The sequence below is a fragment of the Homo sapiens genome, chromosome 18 (genome assembly GCF_000001405.40).
Source record: "Homo sapiens chromosome 18, GRCh38.p14 Primary Assembly".
NCBI lineage: Eukaryota > Metazoa > Chordata > Mammalia > Primates > Hominidae > Homo > Homo sapiens.
Window position 1 is genome coordinate 1,361,293 of NC_000018.10, and position 20,624 is coordinate 1,381,916.

The window sequence follows — 20,624 nt, forward strand, 5'->3', positions numbered from 1 at the left end:
ACACAATATGGGCATTTTGATGTGTACGTTTGTACTTGACCAGGGAACAATTTATAATATACTAAGAAAACTTTAAAAATTAATTACAAAATGAGTATTTTTAGCACACTTAGTAACAGCTACTTGTTTTAAACTATTATTTCATTTTTGGTGACCAAATTATGTTGGAGCATAATTAAAGAACATATAACCTTAAAATAATATTTAAGAAACGTAGTTACAACAGACATATGTTACATTAAATGAAGAAAGGAAAGAAATGTACGTGTATTAAAGCGGACTGAGGTTTTTCAAACCCATTCTTTTGAAAGGCCTTTTAATCCACTTTCACGTAAATCAATTTAAACTGAAAAAAAGTTTTTACTCAGTATGCTTACAGAAAGAGGTGAAATCAGTGTTGACTGACATGACTGTCTAACAACCATTCAATGCTGATCACTGACCTGGTATTTTTATTTGATTATCCTGACAAATCTAATAATTGAGCCCGTGTATATATATGCAAGATGTATATATGCAAGGTGGAGGATCCAATTAATCAACTGCAGAAAGAAAAACACTCAACTTAAAAAAGGTTGAAACAAATGACAAATGGAAATGGTTGAATCACTGTACCTTTTTGACACAATCTTAAATCTTAGTTTTACTGTATATTATTCGGTACTTCTGGATTCAGTAGTTAGGATAAAAAAAATTTCTGTATTCAAACATATCTACAGAATGTCCATATAAAATGTGTGGATATATACATTTAATATACACACATATGTGCACACACACAAACACATACTCACATGTCAAGGAAACAGTGCCTAACCACATCCCTATTTCTCACTAATGACCCAATGAATCATTCATGACTGTAAGAGCAGCTTAGATTCTATAAGGCTGTACGACATATGGCTAAAGAGCTCAAACACAAGCACCCACGTTCATGCTGGATTAAATTGTTCCTCCTCATGATTTCTGACAAACAGTAATGCCACTTATATAACAACTGTATCTCAACAACTTAGAATTCAGAGTACAAAACCATAAACACTGAACTCCCTCATTGTTTAAAGAGCACTCTTTCCATTCTACTTCCACTAACGGATAAGAGGACACACCAAACTAGATCAGTGAACTGTGCAAATGATCTTCACTCTTAATCTAAACAAACCTGTGTTAAAACATTCTGAAATGCTGCATCCTTTGATTTCTTAATTTTTTCAATGCTGCATCCTTCGATTTCTTAATCTTTTCAATTGCCCGATGCAGGTCCTGCTGTTGAACAGGCCGAATTTCATCTTCATCATGGCTTTCTTCTGATGTAGAATTAACATTCTCTAACACAGAGGAGGGCAGCATCTCAACACATCGCATTTAGGTCCCTTCCTGAAAACGCATCAGTTTCCTGGGCAACTTCTAGCAGGTCTACATGCCTATCCACATTTTCATTTTTCAAGATGAGTTTCAGGATTGCTTCTTTCTGTTTTAAAGCAGGCTGGTTGATGTGAAATCTTGTAGGAATTCTTCTCGTTATAGCCGTGTCAATGTCCTGAGGATGAATGGTAGCTCCCATTACTATGACCTGGCAGCGGTGATCAGTGTCCAGTCCATCCCAGAGACTCATAAACTGAGCTTTCATTATGGCTGTAGCTTCATGGTCAGAACTCTGAACGGTTTCGTACAAAGGAGTCTATTTCGTCTATAATGATGATGGACAGTTGTAGCTTTATGGCAAGGGAGAAGACAGCAGCAGCCAGTGTTTGAGATTCTCCATACCACTTATTGGTCAGTGTCGAAGGCTCAAGGTTAATAAATCGACAGCCTGCTTCTTTGGCTGTGGCCTTGGCAATCAACGTTTTACCACAGCCTGGGGAGGCTCATAGAGAAGAACACCTTTTGGAGGCTGCAGAAGCCTGGAATTCTCAAACAAATGTTTCTTTTTGATAGGTAAGATGACTGTCTTTCAGATCCGTAATGACCTCATCTAAACCTGCTATATCACTTCCAAGTAACATGCATATTAAGAGGGTCTACTAGGCTGGGCGCGGTGGCTCTATGCCTGTAATCCCAGCACTTTGGGAGGCTGAGGCGGGTGGATCACGAGGTCAAGAGATCAAGACCATCCTGCCCAACATGGTGAAACCCCATCTCTACAAAAATACAAAAATTAGCTGGGCGTAGTGGCGCACATCTGTAATCCCAGCTACTCAGGAGGCTGAGGCAGGAGAATCGCTTGAACCCGGGAGGCAGAGGTTGCAGTGAGCCGAGATCATGCCATTGCACTCCAGCCTGGTGACAGAGCAAGACTCTGTCTCAAAAAAAAAAAGAAAAGAAAAGAAAAGATGGTCTACTGGTGGGCAGCAACACTCATTTCATATTCTGAGAGCTTCACGTTTTTCACACCAATTAGCTTCATTAGTTTTTCTGCCTGTTTCTGAGCTTCTGCTTTTTGCTTTCTGATTGGATCAATTGCATCTACCATCCATTTGATACTAAAGTATGTTACTGAACCAAATATTGTCAAATGGAAAATTAAACCAACAACTTCATTGTGACTCAAAGGATGAGAAAAGGCATCAGCATGTACCATCTTGATTGTTAACCCAGGAGCAGAAACAACGGGAGCAAGTGCCCTCAGCTGGCCTCGCACAGGAAGGAAATACAGGAGATATTTCAAAACAGGCATGCAATGCATAATAGTCACATCGGAGTAATTGGGGTACCTATCACCTCAGGTATTGATCTTTTGTGTTACAAATGATCCAATTGTGCTATTTTAGTTATTTTAAAATGTACAATCAAATTATTTTTGACTATAGTCACACGGTTGTGCTAGCAAATACTAGGTCTTATTCATTCTTTCTAACAATGTTTTTGTGCTGATTAACCATCGCTACTTCCCCCACACTCCCTGACTACCCTTCCCAATCTCTGTTAACCATCCTTCTACTCTTATCTCCATGAGTTCAACTACTTTCCTTTTTACCTTCCACAAATCAGTGAGAACATTTAAGGTTTGTCCTTCTCTGTCTAGCTTAGTTCACTTAACAAAATGACCTCCAGTTCCATCCATTTTGTTGCAAAAAACAGAATCTCATTCTTCTTTATGGCTGATTAGTGCTCCATTGTGTATATGAACCACATTTTCTTTATTCATTCATCTGTTGATGAACACTTACATTGCTTCCAAATTTTGGCTATTGTGAACAGTGCTACAACTATTCTTTGATATGTCGATTTCTTTTATTTGGGGTATATACCCAGCAGCAGGATTGCTGGATAGTACAGTGGCTCTATTTTTAGTTTTTTGGGAACCTCCAAACTGTTCTCCACAGTGGTTGTACTAATTTATATTCCCACTAACAATGTACGAGGCTTTCCTTTTCTCTCCATCCTCGTCAGCATTTGTTATTGCCAGACATTAGATAAAAGCCATTCTACCTGGGGTGAGATAATATCTTATTGCAGTTTTGATTTGCATTTCTCTGATGAGCAATGATGTTGAGCACCTTTTCATATACCTGTCTTCTTTCGAGAAATGTCTATTCAGATTTTTTGCCCATTTTTTTTAAAAAAGGATTACTAGATGTTTTTCCTACACTGTTGTTTGAGCTCCTTATGTATTCTGGTTATTAACCTTTTGTCAGATGGGTAGTTTGCAAGATGGGAATATAAATTAGTATTTTCTCCTGTTCTGTGGCTTTTATCTTTGTTAATTATTATTATTATTTTTTTTTTGCTGTGCAGAAGCTTTGGAACTTGGTATGATCCCATTTGTCAATTTTTGTTTTGGGTTGCCTGTGCTTGTGAAGTGTTTATTACTTAAGAAACCTTTGCCCAGGCCAATGTTCTGGGGAGATTCCCTAATGTTTTCATGTAGTAGTTACATCATTTGAGATCTTATATTTCAATCTTTAATCCATTTTGATTTGATTTTTGTATCTGTTCAGAGATAGGAATCTAGTTTTGTTCTTTTGCATATAGATGTCCAGCTTGCCCGGCATCATTTATTGGAGAGATTGTCCTTTCCACAATGTATGTTCATGGCTACTTCGTCAAAAATGAGTTCACTGTAGATGTATGTATGGATTTACCTCTGGATCCTCTATTCAGTTTCAGTGATCTATGTGTCTGTTTTTATTTATGTGGGTACCATGCCTTTTTGGTTACCTTAGCTGTGTAGTGTAATTTATAGTCAGGTAAGTGATTCCTACAGTTTTTTTTTGTTGTTTTTTTTTTTTGCTTAGTATAGCTTTGGCTATTCTGGGTGTTTTGTGGTTCCACATACGTTTTAGAGTGTTTTTCTATTTCTGTGAATAATGTCATTGGCATTTTGATAGGGATTGCATTAAATCTGTAGATTGCTTTGGGTAGTATGGACATTTTAGCAATATTGATTTTTCCAATTCATGAATAGATTGGTCCAATTTTGTTTTCTGTTATAATAAGGCAGCACTGAGTTCAATGCCTCACAAATACTGTGATCTCCTTCTCCCCAGCACACAAAAATGTTCTCTGCACCATGCCACTGCTGCTGCGGGAGAGAGGAGGTGTGATGTCAGCAATTCAAGACGGTTTTTCCTGCCTCTTCAGTGCCTCTTTTAGTAATACGAAGTTAAAGCCAGGTACTCACCTGATTTTTGGTTCTTATAAAGGTGCTATTTTATGTAGTTAGTTGTTAAATTGGTGTCCTTGAAGCAGGGACAATTGGCGGAGCCTTCTATTCTGCCATCTTGTTCTGCCCCAAGTCCTCATATATCATCTTTTATGAAGCACCCATTCAAATATTTTGTGCAGAACTCAAAACATGTAACCTGAAGTCTGTGGCTTGTCTTTATAAGGTTTGGCTTGATTTGCCTTTTAAGTGGAGTCCTTTGTATTCTTCCAAGGTGGAGGTAAATGTCTATCAGGAGTGGCATGGAACAAAGATAAATCTGTATTTCTGTCAGTCAAATAGAAATTTATCAAATTTTACTGATGCTGATAATAATATGTAAGAACTTTACCTTATAATGACATCTGGGGAAGATTAGACACTCCTTTTGTAATGCCATGTTTGACTAATATAACCAATGCAAAAAATATACTTATTGATATTCCTTCATCATTATATTCTGTTCTTAAACACTTGTGCATTTTCTATATGAGATCCATGTGAAACAGAAGTAACATAATTAGCTGTAGGAGATATCAACATAAAATAGAACTAAGATTGCAAGGACAAAGGCATACATGGTTTAAATCCTGTCTCTTCCTCCATCTCTCCTGTAGCTCTTTCTCCTTTTTTTCCCTTTCCCTCCATCCCTCTTCCTCCTTCTCTCCCTCCACACTTGTCTGTGTGCGGTTGAGAAAACTTTAATGGAGCAATTGCAGCTTAACTATTGACCTCCACACTTTTCTCATTTGTGAATAGCATGAATTGTTTTTTGGATAGTTTTACATCCAAAGAGTATTTTTCAGTGGTAAGGCCATTTCCTATGTGTGATAAAACTGAAAAATGAACCTGTACAAAGCACTATATTGGCCATCCTATTTCCGAGAAGGCACGGAAGCAAGTTTATGTACTTTCCTGGGAATGTTAAAATGTCAGCTAGGAGTGCTTTCTACACTATTTATGCTTACCCAGGTGTATATATGCCACACATAGCTGAAAAGGGATACATGTATTGTTTTCAGTTTGAACATTATAACTTTTTTTTTTTTTTTGTCTAAGGGGAAATATATTCTTTAAGAAGAAACTATCACATACTTCTCATCCAGGCTGTTCTTTGGGTCGTGGGGGCTCAGTTGTGATAAAAGGTGAAGTTAGAACTAGTTAATGGAGAACTAGCTCCCATTATGCCACTTCCTGGCCAAATCAGGGACTGACCATGGGACTGCCCCATATGTGAACCTATGTTGCCTTCACTGAGACTGGGGACTTTGAGAAGCACTGGCATATTTGGAAACTTTATGCAGCAGTTGACTGGTCTAAAAACTACACAGATGAAATCTCTCTCAGAAGAAATATATTCTTAACTATCCTACTCTCTTTCTCCTCTATAATAAATGTTATAAAGGTTTGCCCCTGTGTTTGTTTTACTTTACATGTGAAACAAAAATTTTCATGGGTAAATGAGTTAAAGTATTTGGCTTTTAGCTCAAACAAATGAGATGTTAGTTTAAGAATAGACCTCCACTTATAGGCTGATTTATAACATTTGCATTGGAGGATATGGAAAGGATATAATGAAAACACAAAAATTTCCGTGGCATTTTAAATTTTCATTTTTTTATCAAGAAAAATTGAGTTCTTGTTGAAATAACCTGTACAAAACCTGCTTTAAAAAATAGTTTTTGATGTTGCTTACATGCAAATGATTATATTATAAATAAGAAAAATTTGAATTTAAATATCTCATGAAAATAGAACCATAAAATATTTTAGGTTGAGTATGACAAAAGGAAGTGTTTAGAAGATTTTTTTATTGACAAATTTATTTTGAATTTTCTTCTAAGAACCCAAGATATATTTTCCTTTAGAGAAAATGATCTGAGGCATGCTAGAGGGTATGTATTGACAGCTGTCCTAAACTATTTTCCTATTAAATCTCTATGGGTTAAAATAAATCAACACTCTATCAGGTGTTATAATGTTGAAGTATGAGCTCATTTCCTTGTAAAGTGCAACTCTTAGATTGTCAGACTGGCTTTTTATATAGGAAGAGGAACCCATTTTCTCCATCTTACTCAGTATGTCCTCATGTATCTGAGTTTGTGGATTCTTTCACCTTTGGCTCTTGGTTCCTGGCTTTGATCAATGTGTTTTGATCTCAGTTGGAAATCAAAATGTGGAAAGAACAATGGATGGCTCCTCTCTCTCTCATACCAAGAATTGGAGTTAGAGAACACAGATCGCATCTTAAGAAATAATCATTTCAAATGTTAGCCATTCCTAGATTTCTGCCAGATATTAGCCATGTAGAAAACTGACGCTATTTGTTGTTTTATCTAAATTTTCGTTTTTTAAAATGCATCTTAAGATGTAAAGTACTACTATTTATGGGCAAAAAATATCGGGTTTATTTGAGAATTCTTTAATGCGCCACTCAAATGCTTGTTTGACCCAAATCCATTTTCTTACAGTCTTAGTCTATTTGTGCTACTATTACAAGACACTACAGAATGGGTAATTTATAGAATATAGAAATTTATTTCTCACAGTTCTGGAGGCCGAGAAGTCCAAGATCATGGCACCAGCTGGTTGGTTGTCTGGTAAGGGTCTGCTCTCTGCTTCTAGGATGGCACCTTGCTGCTGTGTCCTCTGATGGTAAACTGTGGGGCAGAAAGTCAAAAGGGGTGAAGAGTGTCTGAGGCCTCTTTTGTAAGAGACTTAATCCCATTCATAAGGGAGGAATCTTCATGGCCCTATCACCTCTTAAAGGCCTTGCCTCTTAATATTAGCATATTGGCAACACCTGAATTTTAGATGGGAGACATGCAAACCATAGCACCTGCCTTTTCCTGCTTTGCTCTCTAAATTAGGGAAACTCATTTCTCTGGCTGTCTTGCACTCTAGCTTCCAGATAGGTTTGCTTAATGGGAGTTACTGGTGGTAGACTGGAAGACGAGAATGATGGGAGAAGCCAGGATATTCTACCCCTAGTCAGATGCCTCTTATAGCATCTCTGGTTGTGAATTGTCTTCTCGGTAGCTCCAAGCCTAACTGAGTTCCTCCCACCTTGGTCCCACCAGTGCGTATTCCAGTGTTCTAGCTCCTGCCAGAGAGCCTGACATCTGGCCTCTAATAACAAAATCTTCCATTGTCCCTCTAGCATGAGGGTTGGTGGCAGCTTCCAGCTGTTGTCAATCTCTGTGTTGATTTGCTGTCTCTTTTTAGCCTCTCAGACCTTCCATCACCTGAAAACCCAATTTGCTTATAATGATATCCTTGCGTTTGAAAAAACTGAAGTGGTTCTTTTATTTCCTGGCTGAGCCTTCCTGATATCTTAGCAAACAAATAAGGAGGGAGGAGCATCCTGCTACTGCTGTGGTGGTGTAAGCCCACCCCAGCTGTCTCACCTGCCATTGACAACTAGAAACTGAAAACAAAATAAACAGCAACGTGAGGACTCCAAAAACTAAATGAAAGCACAGGATTTTGGAGGGGAATCACAGCTTGGAGAAGTGAAATGTTTGGAAGTGGGGTTTCCTGTTTATCTTTTCTCTCACAGTCTTACCCTGAGGGCAGGCCTCAGCCATTGAGTTGCACGTGGCACATGTAGCTGAAACTGATATAAATTTAACTTTTTGTTTGTTTGTTTGTTTTTGGCCAGAGAAACCAGAGAAGGGAGCTTCAGTGGGTCAGAGAATTTGGGGAGAAATTCTACAGGGAAGAAAGACAGGAAAGGGTTCTCCTACTTCTGTGTATTAACCAGAACTAATTTTAGACTAAACCTTGAGATATGCATGCATGAGGCACAATCAAAGATGTATAGCCAAGGCTTCGGGAACTTAAATGAAATCTGAACCACCTGCACAAGTCTCCTGAATAGCACGTGCATGGAACAGACCCAAACCAATGTTGCAGAGACCGAAGGAAGTCAATGGAAATTAAAACTACCCTTACAGAAGGAAAATACTATAATGTGTAAACCTAAACAGGTTGAATGCCTTCTAAAATACAGGCTGGGCACAGTGGCTCACACCTGTAATCCCAGCACTTTGGGAGGCTGAGGCGGGCAAATCACCTGAGGTCAGGAGTTCGAGACCAACCTGGCCAACATGGTAAAACCCCAGCTCTACTAAAAATACAAAAATTAGCCGAGCATGGTTGTGGGCACCTGTAATCCCAGCTACTCGGGAGGCTGAGACAGGAGAATCGCTTGAACCTGGGAGGTGGAGGTTGCAGTGAGCTGAGATTGTGCCACTGTACTCCAGCCTGGTTGACAGAGCGAGACTCCATTTCCAAAAAACAAACAAACAAACAAAAATACAAACTTCAGCATTCTCTATAAGTTTATAACAGGACTCAGCCTTTGCAGCATAATGCTCACAATGTTTTAAAAAGCAACTCAAAATTACTTAAAATTCAAAGAATCAGAAAACTGTGACCAATTCCCAAGGGAAAGCAAGACACACACACACACACACACACACACACACACACACACACACACCCATGAAATGACCCAATGTGTCAACTATCAGATGATGATTTGAAAGCAGCTATTATAACTAGGCTCCATGAGGTACAGGAAATCACACTTGGTATTACATGGCTGTTGTGCTTTTAATGATACTTATAAGGATAATAATTTTGGATTGGATTGCTTTTTTATTGCGGTAAGTACGCATGTAAAATTTATCATTTTCACTTTTTTAAAGTATAAGTTCTGTGGCATTAAGTACATTCACACTGTGTGCAACCACCACCAGCACTCAGCTCCAGAACTCTTTTCATCATCCGAAACTGAAACACTGTACCCATTAAACAATAACTCACCATTCTATCCCCCAGCTTACAAACTTGCAGAAGCCAGGCAGAGGCACTGAACTGTCAGAGGAAAGGTGAACATAACAACCATGGTAGTCAGCAAGACTGGAATGATGAAAATGGTGCCCGGAGTTACAGAGAGCTATGATGAGAGCTAACGGATCGTGGGACTCTGAGCAGTGAGATAGATGGGAAGCTCAACTAGGATGTTACCCTATTTTGTTATTTTAAAAAAAACACAGCTGGGAAGTAGAAGTTTAGTGTCTGTTCTTGCAGTGAAAAATCGTGGTCTTTCATTCAGTTTTCAAATCTAAATTAGTTAACAAACCCAGAGCCCTGTGATTGGAGGTGAGCCTGGTATTCTTCTTTTTGAAGAAGGATACTGTGATGCCATTAGAAGTATATGAGATGACTACTCCATTGATCCTTCCTTAAACAGACCTGATGTCATTTTCCAGGATAACTTTGTAGTGAGGAATCAGGATTGTTCATTGTGAGGTCTGAATTAACATTAATACTAGGGAACCCAAAACATTATCATGGTCTCCCGAAGACTGAGCCCTTGTCTCAAGTTTACTTCACGCCATACCCATTTAGTCACAGGGCCCATTTTGCAGTTATTTCTGGAGTTTCTGCAAGTGTAATTGGGACAGATAAAATTAGCAGCTGGCAGAATTTCTGACTTGTGTATGTCTATCTATGGAGTAACAGCCATTATGATAGAAGGAATTAGTTGAAGTTCTTGAAAATGTCCTCCCACATCCTGGCCAAGATGATTAATCAGAAGCAATACTGGGAAGGACTGTACTGGCACTAACGCAAAAGACCTGCAGGATGCAGAAATGGTGGTTCCCATCAAAGCCCCACTCCATTCACCATGCTTGAAGCACTGCCTAACAAGAAAGCTCAATTGTGTCTGCCTATGGCAGCAGCTGTCTTGAGAAACCAAGAAACACAACCTGCAAGGCTGGAGGATTTAACTCCTTGTGGGGCATGGGAAATGGATGAAGAGGGTGCTGGCAGAAAAATACTCCTTTTTTCCTCCTCATGGTGGTCTATCCCAAGATGGAGTCATTCAAATAGCCTATTGCAGAGGCCTTGTGAGACTGAGCAATCAGCTGCATTTATTATGAGGCTGTGGTCAGCTTTGTAAAACACCATGTTGAGTTCTCTCTCATTCTTCTCTAGCTCACTGCCCTCTCTCACTTCTGCTTCTCTGAGGCTGCACACCCCCAATAAAATATCAGCACAGAAGCTTTCCTCTTAGGCTCTGTTTTCAATGGGACTGGAGGAAAGACAGAAAGGATCCAATTTCTGATGATGTTTGTTTATTGGTTTGGCTTTACTAAACAATTCCGAGTCCTCCAAAGTCAATATATTTTCATAACATTTTACAAATAGCCTATTTCCATCCCATTTTTGAACCCAAGGGAGATTATCATAGTTAGAAATGGAACTATAAGTCCTAGATGTTCAAATCTTTTCCTCCATTGCTATAGATAGGTAAAGAAAAGCAGGCCAGGCCTGGTGGCTCATGCCTGTAATCCCAGCACTTTGGGAGGCTGAGGTGGGCACATCATCTGAGTTCAGGAGTTCAAGACCAGGCTGGACAACATGGCGAAACCCTGCCTCTACTAAAAATAAAAAAATTAGCCGGGCGTGGTGGTGGGTGCCTGTAATCCCAGCTACTCGGGAGGCTGAGGTAGGATAATTGCTTTAACCTGGGAGGTGGAGGTTGCAGTGAGCCAAGATCTCACCACTGCACTCCAGCCTGGGTGACAGAGCAAGACTCCATCTAAAAAAAAAAAATAATAAAGGCAAGAAAACAAGAGCCTCTTGTCTATCTAGCTGTATTGAGTCCTTTTTAGGATTTTAGGAAATATTTCTGGAAAGGATGACTCTTATGGAATGGTAGAGGCAGCTCAGTGAACTAGGAACAACAGAAGTAAAAGCTCAGGTACAAGAAATAATCGGGTGCTTTAGAAGAACATCTGCATCTCAGCAAAACTTGAACAAAAAGCTCAGGTGGGACATGGCAGGAAATGGACCCAGGGCCAGGTAAATACCTGGTGATAGAAGTCCTTGTAGGCCAGTGTAAGTAATGTGAATTTTATTCTGCATGTTTCATAAACCACCTGCCTCAGAATCACCTAGAATGCTTGTTAAAAATACATTTAATGCATTTTCTTAGACACTAAGCCAGATGTACCAAATCACAATCTCTTAAGAGAGGGCCTGGGAATCTATATTTTGAATACTTCAAGGTGTTTCTTAGCACACTAAAGTTTGGGAACACCTGGTAGTGCCTTGAAAAGTTTTTGTTAGCATTGTTTCATAGTTAGATTCTGTCTAGACCATTCTGGCATCAGTGAGAAGGATAGGTCCAAAAAGGGGGACCCAGATTAGAAACAGAGAGACCATTCATTCATTTATTCAACACATATTTTAAGCACTTCCTATATGCTTGGCAAAAAGGACGTAGGAATGAAGGAATGGATGAAATCTATCTTAATCTGCTTGCTATCTCATGAGGGAGATGAACAACAAACAAGTAAACAACACGCAAACAAGATAATTCCAGATGTGATAAATGCGATAAAGAAAATAAGTGTAATAGTGTGAGAGAGAATAGCTGTGTATCTGTGTGTGCTACAGGGGGATTTATATAGGGTGATCGGGGAAAGCCTTTTGAGGAGCTGACATTTACTCAGATTTGAAGAGGGAGAAACCAGCCATGTGAGAAGCCTGGGGAAAGGATTAGTTCTCCATGCAGAGTGAACAGCTGGTATAAAGGCTCTGAAACAGAAATCAGATCAATATCTCCAAGAAACAGAAAGGGATGGCATAGTGCCTAGAGGGTAAGGAGGGTAGAAGATAGTAGAGAAAGGTATGGTTGTAAAAGTAGAAGAGTAAGGTCATGCAGGGGGACATTAGGCCATAATAGAACATTTGTATTTTATTCTAAGTGTTATTTATTAGTACAAGAAAGAAGTGCAAGTCAGAGGTAGTTCATATATAAAGAGGAGAAGGATATACTTAAGAAATATTTAGAGAATGGGGTAAAATGAAAAAGCCCTAGGTATTTGTTGAATTGGAGCATAAAGGTAGAGAAGGATTCTAGGATGATTCTCAGGTTTGTGATCTGGATTCCTATGGGTAGATCACAGTAACATTATTTGAAAAAGAAAGAATAAGAGTAAGGGTGCATTCGAGGGGATGGAGTATTGGGCACTATTTGAACATGCTGTATTTGAGGAGTTTGTGGAATATACTAGTGATGTATGTGTATATTACAATATTTGACTATACATGATAGGAAACTGAAAATAACAGCCTTTCCTTTTTTTTTTTTTTTTGAGTCAAGTTCTCACAGGCTGAAGTACAGTGGCATGATCATGGCTCACTGCAGCCTCGAACTCCTAGACTGACGTGATCCTCCTAGCTTGGCTCCCAAACTGCTGGGATTACAGGCATAAGCCCTCATGCCTGGCCAAAAGTAACAGTAATTTCAATAAGATGAACATTTATGTCTTTCTCATATCAATAAGTTTCAGAGATAGGAGTACAAGATTTGTACCCAGGTCTTGGTTCATAAAAGTGACTGGGTGACTACATGGAGAAGTCAATGTCAGTGAAAGGAAAGTTTACTGCTACAGTTCCTCTAGAAATGAGAGACACAGCCATGCAAGACTACATAGGAAGCACCAGAATAGGTCAGGAGAGAGGCCAAAGCAGGAGTGAGGGGAAGGCATAGTCCACAGCCTTTAGAGGGGTTTCTGTGGGAAGTTGAGGGTAAACAGTTTAGGGTTGGTGAGTTTGAATAATTCCAGTGAGTCTTCAGGCGTAGGGTCTGTCCCTAGTTGTCTGGAACCTGGCCCTGGGTTGATTTACTATAGTGGGAATATTGGCTTGCTGTGTGAATTAGATAAAGGAGGTGGTTGGAGGTATAAACTCAGGATTAGTTGGTTTGCATGTGAAAGGCGTGCTAGCAGGTGAATTGTTTAGTATTTCTAGGAATTTGTTAGACCTGAAAGGAGCAGTCTTTCCCAGGCCAGCAAGGTCCCCAAGATGGCAAAACATAACAAAAAACATAATCAATTCAAGGCTGGTAGAGCAGCTACATTATTATCAATGATGTTTTTATCTTGTTAATTCTCCATTCTCAACACATGGATCAACCTCAGGGGCCAAGATGGCTCCTCGACCTTCAGATATCACATCTACATCCTATCTAGTGGGAAGAGATGAGGACAAACATGATGTCCCCTTCCTCCAAGGATATCCCTGGCAGTATCATAAACCAGTTTTCTTATATCCCATTGGCAGACATCTGAGGAAGAGTTTGTGAAAGAAAGCGAGGGATTGGTCTGGAATAAGTGGGCGCACCAGAGCAGGCTGCGAAAGCCAAGGGAGTGGAGACTTTAGGAGAGAGGGATCAAAATTATAATGTGGCCAAGACAGGCAGCAGATCAGAACTGCCGAGTGTCCTTTGGGATAGTTCAAATGAAGGGTCACTACTGTCGTAGCAAATTTAAGGGAAAAGTAAAGAAGAAATAAAAGAGAAGTGGGGAAATAGACAAGGCAGCAAGCATGAACTGCTCTGCTGAGGCTTAGCTGCTGAGGAAAAGTAGGAAATTAGAGGTCACATAGAATTAAGAGATTTTTATTGCAGATATTAGATTCACAATCTTTAATGTGATATATCCACAAAGGGTAAAATATTTAGAAAAAATAGAGACTGGCTGGTAAGTAAAAGCAGAAATATTGAAATAATTGTTGAATGCGGTTCTTATTGAGGTCTTTTGAAATGTATAGTAACTTATAGGGCACTAGAACAAGCTAAAAAAGTGTATGAATCACTAAGTCCTCATTCTGAAAATGGTTAAGATGAAAGTGATTGACAACTCACATTTCTTTCCGTGCGAGAAGCTGACTGCAGGGTTGGTGTATGCAGCAATGGAAGGCAAGTTTAGCCTATGTGCATTTGTCTTTAATTTGACCATATAAACAACTACTTATTTTTTTCTAATGACACCGTTTCATAAATATCAATTTAATTGGATTTTGTTTTCTTCTAGCTTGAATATTCTCCTAGAGGAAATGTTTAACATGAGATTTTATTTAGACAGGTAGTGAAAAATCAGTATGATACTTATGGAAGAGAGTATGAGTGCCATATCTAAATGAAAAGTTTTTAAGGAAGACTTCCTTGGGAGTGGTTTATTACATAATCTGTCAGATGGTCTCAGTGCCAAATGGGCAGAATTTAGAGATCATTAAAAGACTTAAATATTAATGTGACTTGTACTTTCATGAGCAACCAAATTATTGGTATTCAACTAGCATTTCTTACTCTTTAACAGGAAAAAAAATACCCTCTCATTTTCTTCCTAATACTCAACAGTGCCCAATTATGTCACTGATCTTGCTACAACTGCTGCACTTGACATCTAATAAATCTGATTCTAAATTGGTTTGTAGTCGAATTTTGAAAAAGATCAATAGATTCATTTATGTGGACTCTTGCCCTGCTGCTGAAAACGTGCCTGTACATACAAAGAATGAGATTACCAGATTTGATTCACAACCTCTTGGCTGTCTCAGTACACCTGGAATACTGTATAACTAATGAAGAATTAAATTAGTAGTACTACTGGTCAGACCTGACACTCTTATCTGTGCCTACTCTATAGCAGCAGTGAGATAAGATGTTGATTTCTCCCTCCATGAGCAAACACTCTTGCTTGGATTTTGTAGACTCAAAAATAAACCCTTAACCACCATTATGATCAATAACAGTAATAATAATGATCATGATAGGATTGAATGCCATGCTATTTACATGATTGTATTTTCAAGTAAAAAAAAAAGTATCAGTAAATTATCTTTTAAATTAGTTTGCAGAACTTAAGAAAAACTGATTAAGATTTCATGTAGATGAAACTCATTGAGGAATTTTTTTATTTGAGTGCACTACTAAATTTATTTAAGCAGTTATTGAAGTAATATACTATGCCATTATGTTACTTGATGGTGAATAAAAATGCACTTAGAACTCTCTCTCCTTTTTTTTTTGGAGATAGAGTCTCACCTGTCACCCATGCTGGAGTACAGTGGCGCAATCTTGGCTCACTGTAACCTCCACTTCCTGGGTTCAAGAGATTCTGCTGCCTCAGCCTCCTGAGTAGCTGGGACTACAGGTGCCTGCCACCATGCCTGGCTAATTTTTGTACTTTTAGTAGAGATGGGGTTTCACCATGTTGGCCAGGCTGGTCTCAAACTCCTGACCTCAAGTGGTCTTCCCACCTTGGCCTCCTAAAGTGCTGGGTTTACAGGCATGAGCCAATGTGCCTGGCCAGACAGACTCTATTTTCTTGAGTAACTTATAATTCAGTATAGAGCACAAAATATAGTACAAGACAGAATAAAAGTGTTGTTCTAATAAAAATCTCAACACCCATAACGGTTGCACCAAGAAGGTAGCAATTAATTCCAAATTGGGATTTTGGAGATGGCTTATGTGGAGGTAGGAGAGTTTAAGCTGTCTTCAAGGGAGAGCCAATTGTCTAATAAGCAAGAAGAAGGTAGGATGGTATTTTAGGATAAAAGTATAATCACGACAAGGGAAACATAATATAAAAGGACTTCTTATGCTCTCAAAATACTCCTGCGTAACTGTGGTAGAATGTAGAAGATGAGATGATGAAGGTTGTAGTCATATCATGGGGCTTTTATTTTATTTATTTTTATTTTTTTACAGGCGCCCACCACCTTGCCCAGCTAATTTTTGTATTTTTAGTAGAGACAGGATTTCACTATGTTGGCCAGGCTGGTCTTGAACCCCTGACCTCAGGTGATCCACCCGCCTCGGCCTCCCAAAGTGCTGGGATTACAGGCATGAGTCACAGTGCCCGGCCTCCAATGGGACTTTTTTTTTTTTTTTTTTTTTTGAGGTTAAGAGCGGAAGTTTAATAGGCAAAAGAAAGAGAAAAGCTCTGTTGCTACAGAGAGGTGTCTATCATGGGGCTTTTAAATACCTAGGTAGAAGCTTGGATTTAAATTTCAGGTCAACATCATGTGATGGCCAGTATTTTATGCCTGAAAATAAGAGTCAATATGATTAATTAATGACATAAATTAATGTCAAGTTGCTTTGAAAATTCTCAAAGTGACTGAATACATTTTACACCCTTTGTGAATCTAGTGTCTTTACACAGAGGTGTAAAATATCACTGTACTTTCCAGTCCAAATCTCTGAAATCAGCAGAGCCAAGTTGTATTCCTGGATCTCTTAGTGACTAGCCTTATGACTTGAGTAAGTCATTTCACTTCTGATTCCAGCTTCCACGTCTATAGACTGGAGACAGGAGATTTTGAGGATCAAATGAAATTACAAAAGCAGCACTTGTTTATATCAAAAAGCACTGCATGGGTATAAATTCATCTCAGAAACTCAAGTGTACAAGAAATATAATTTGTTTAGTTTGTTCTTTATTTTTATTAGGATAGAACTTATATATGCCAAAACGTATATACTATGTTTATGTGCAGTTTAAAGAATAATAATAAAATTACCAACTATGTCCTCACAACCAGGCTTAAGAGGCAGTAACTTGAGGTCTCCAAATGGGTTCTCCTTGTTCACTTCTAGATGAAAAGCATTTCTTCTAAAAATATTTTATTGCAAATGTTTCTATAAATGTTTTGTATTTTAATGTCTCTAATCTTTATAGAAATTAAATCACATTGTAAGTATTCTTTTGACTTGTTTTTTGAGTGCAATATCAAGTTTTCAAAATTCATGTATATTTTTATTTTCAATCAATCAGTCAAAAATATTTATTAAGTTTCTTACCTGCCAAGCCCATTTGTAGATGGTGCGGATCTACAGTAAATAAAACAGACAAAAATCCCTGCTCTCATCGAACTAATATTCAAGTGGGAGGGGGTATGTAGTAAATAAACATGATACATGATAGATAGATAGATAGACAGACAGACAGAGACGTAGATAATTCAGCAAAACAAGAATTGAAATGGTACATATATAGCAGGATAGGGGACAATGGAATTAGAGGAGAGTGCTATAATTTTAAACAGAATTGTCAGAGTAGGAAACTCTGGGAAGGAGCTTGTGTTCAAAGTTCTTTACAGAAAAAGAAAAAAATGGGATGTATATATGTACATATGTAAATGTATGTGTGTGTATATGTATTTATGAGAGAGAGAAGGATGCATTTTAAGGAATTGGCTTGAGATTATAAAGGCTGGCAAAACTCTTATCTGCAGAGTGCGCCAGTGGGCTGGAGACCCAGGAAGGGTTGATGCTTCAGAATTCCCTCTTACTAGGGAGAAGTCAGTCTTTTATTCTGTTCAAGCCTTCAGCTGATTGAATGAGGCACACTCAGATTAAGGAAAGCAATCTGCTTTACTCAAAGTCCACCAATTTAAATTTTAGTCTCATCCAAAAATACCCTCTTAGAAACATCCAGACTAATATTTGATCATATTTAGCCCACCCAAATTGACACAGAAAATTAACCATTACAGAACTTTGTAAGCAAATAACCAGTAAGTTGGAGGATTTAGTCATGTGGTGACTTGGGAGAGAACATTTGGGAAAGAGAGCAGAACTAATGCAAAAATCCCAAGGTTCTCTCAAGAATGGTGTAATTGAGGAACATCAAGGAGGCCAGTGTAATGAAAGAGAAGTGAGTGAAGGGCAAAGATGGTAGAAGATGAAGTCAGAGAGGTAATGGGGTCAGATATGTAAATTTTATGGATGATTCTAAGGTTGTGGCTTTTATTTTCAAAGGGCAATGGAGAGCCACTCTAGGGTGTTGCACAATGAGTAATTTGACTAAACATTTAAAAACAAATTTTGCAGCTGCGGTGCCACAGAAAGACAAATGTAGAAGAAAACAAACAAAAAAAGAACCTCTAAAAAACCCCAAAACCTACTGTGCTAAGTATTGCAGTAAAATTTCCTCAAAATAGTGGTTGTCAATCTAGGGTGGTAACTGGAGATTTTGAGAAGGGATGGATGTGTGTATATACTTTAATGACAGATTGAATATTGGGTGAGAGGGAAGAAAAGTCAAAGATGAATTCAATGATTTGGCCTGAACAACCTTGGAGGATGAAGTTGTCATCAGCTGAGCCGGGAAAGACTGAGAAAGATATAGATTTTTGCAGATTATCAGAAATTCAATTTTGGAGATTTAAATTTAACATGTCTCTTAGACATCTGAGTGGAAATATCAAATAAGAAGCTGAAAGTTATATAAGAGTCTGGAGTTTAGGAAGAGGTCTTAGCCAAAGATACGTTAGAATAGGTCAATGGTGTTTAAACTTATGAGACTGGGTGACATTACTAATGAAGAGAAGAAATAATAGACAAATAGTGAGCTCTGGAATATCAACATTAAGAGTTCAGAAGGAAGAAGAGAAACTACAAAGGAACCTAAGGACAAACCAATGAGGTAGAAAAACAAACAAACAAACCAAGAGTGATGTCCTTGAGGCCAAACAAAGAGTAGCAATTGGGAGAAAATGTCAACTGTGTCAGATGCAACTGATTGGTCCAGTAAGATAAAAACAGAAATGATAGGATTTAGTAATGCAGACATCATAGATTACTTTGAAAGTTATGGTGTCAGAGTAGTGATGGTGGGTAAGTAAAGACCTAATTAGAATGAATTTAAGAGTGACTGGGAAAAGTTTCAGAGGAAGCCTGTATAGGAAATCCTCTGGGAGACTTTGAGACAAAAGGAAGTTGAGAAATGGAATGGTAGATGATGGAGGAATTAGAGTCAAGAGAGAGTTTTTAAGGGATGAGGATTTGTCGTTGTTGTTAAGTTGTTTGAGTTCTTTGTAGTTTCTGGATATTAGTCCCTTGTTGGATGCATAGTTTGAAAATATTTTCTCCCATTCTGCAGATTGTTCACTGTTGATTATTTCTTTTGCAGTGCAGAAGCTTTTAAGTTTAATTAAATGCCATTTGTCTCTTTTTGTTTTTGTTGCTTGTGCTTTTGACGTCTTAGTCGTGAATGTGTTGCCTAGGCCAATGTCCAGAAGAGTTTTCCCTAGGTTTTCTTCTAGTATTTATAGGAGAGAATGGGAAGGAGATGAGAGATGAGAAATTACTTAATGGGAAAATGTGCATTATTTGGGTGATGGATACACTAAAACCCCAGACTTCATCCCTATACCATATACCCATGTAATAAAATTGCATTTGTACCCCCTAAATTTATACAAACAAAGATGGGAGAGTTAACAGCATATTTATATGCTGATGAAAATGTTCTAGCAGAGAGTGTAAAAAATGAGGGTATAAGTGAAGTAGAATCGCTTAAGTGAGGCCCATAAGCAGATGACAGGAAATGAAATCTTACATCCAAGTGAATAATTAGTTTTAGGAAGGTATGTGAGCAGGAAAAAAAAAAGTGGACAGAGTACAGGTGCTAGTAGGTGGGTAGACTGAGGGAAAATCTGTGGAAATTCTCTTCTGATGGCTTCAGTTTCCTTGGTAAAATAGAAAGGTCATCAACAGAGTGGGTATGAGGCAGGAGTACTGGAGATTTGAGAACAGAGGAGAAAGTTATGTAAAAGAGTGGGAGAGAGAATGGATCAGGGAAATATGTAATTGGGTAGCAGCACGAGGCCCACTTGAATTTGGGGCTTATGGTCATGAGTTGAAAATGGCAACTCTAGTATGGCTTTGTGTTTCTCCCTAGCTCTGTTGAGTTTTAAGAGTACAAAGAGATATATTTTTAAAGCATAATTCTGATCATTCAACTTCCTTTTAAGATCCTTCAATGATTTATTTCCATACCTAAAATGAAACCCAAATTACTTACCAGGGTCCATAACTCTGATATCACTCTCCCCTTATTCACAACACTCTAGCCATACCGACCTTTTTATCGATAACTACATTCCCATATCTTTACCTCATCAATTGGCCCTTTGGTGAAATATCAGTTCCCAGACCAAAGTCTTCATTGATCTCTTCACACTAATCAGTTTCTCTATCTGCGTATTGTTTTATTTTCTTCATAGTATGATCACTATTATAAATGAACTTACTTATTCATGTGATTTTTAAAAAATTCTGGCCAGGCACGGTGGCTAGTGCCTGTAATCCCAGCACTTT

The 20,624-nt window shown here is 38.4% G+C and overlaps 1 long non-coding RNA gene and 1 pseudogene across 2 annotated transcripts in view, besides 1 other annotated feature; both read right to left on the bottom strand.

Moving 5' to 3' along the window:
- Positions 1 to 950: 950 nt before the first annotated feature.
- Positions 951 to 2,651, bottom strand: LOC100129774 (ATPase family AAA domain containing 1 pseudogene; annotated as a pseudogene).
- Positions 2,338 to 20,624, bottom strand: part of LOC105371954 (uncharacterized) — a 29,080-nt gene continuing 10,793 nt past the window's right edge. The window contains exons 2-4 of one of the 2 annotated variants that reach the window (XR_007066438.1): positions 7,193 to 7,305; positions 4,998 to 5,169; positions 2,338 to 4,894 (exon numbers count right to left, since the gene is read on the bottom strand). This is a non-coding gene — a long non-coding RNA (uncharacterized LOC105371954). Of the gene's footprint in view, positions 5,170 to 7,192; positions 7,306 to 20,624 lie in introns of both variants that reach the window. The other variant, XR_007066437.1, reaches the window with a different exon arrangement.
- Positions 7,723 to 7,941: a silencer, noted in NCBI's record as "fragment chr18:1369016-1369234 (GRCh37/hg19 assembly coordinates)". NCBI's record gives its function as "represses an EF-1alpha promoter that drives an FKBP-Casp9 reporter gene in an ReSE screen in HepG2 liver carcinoma cells {active_cell/tissue: HepG2}" and the evidence as "EXISTENCE:reporter gene assay evidence [ECO:0000049][PMID:32094911]".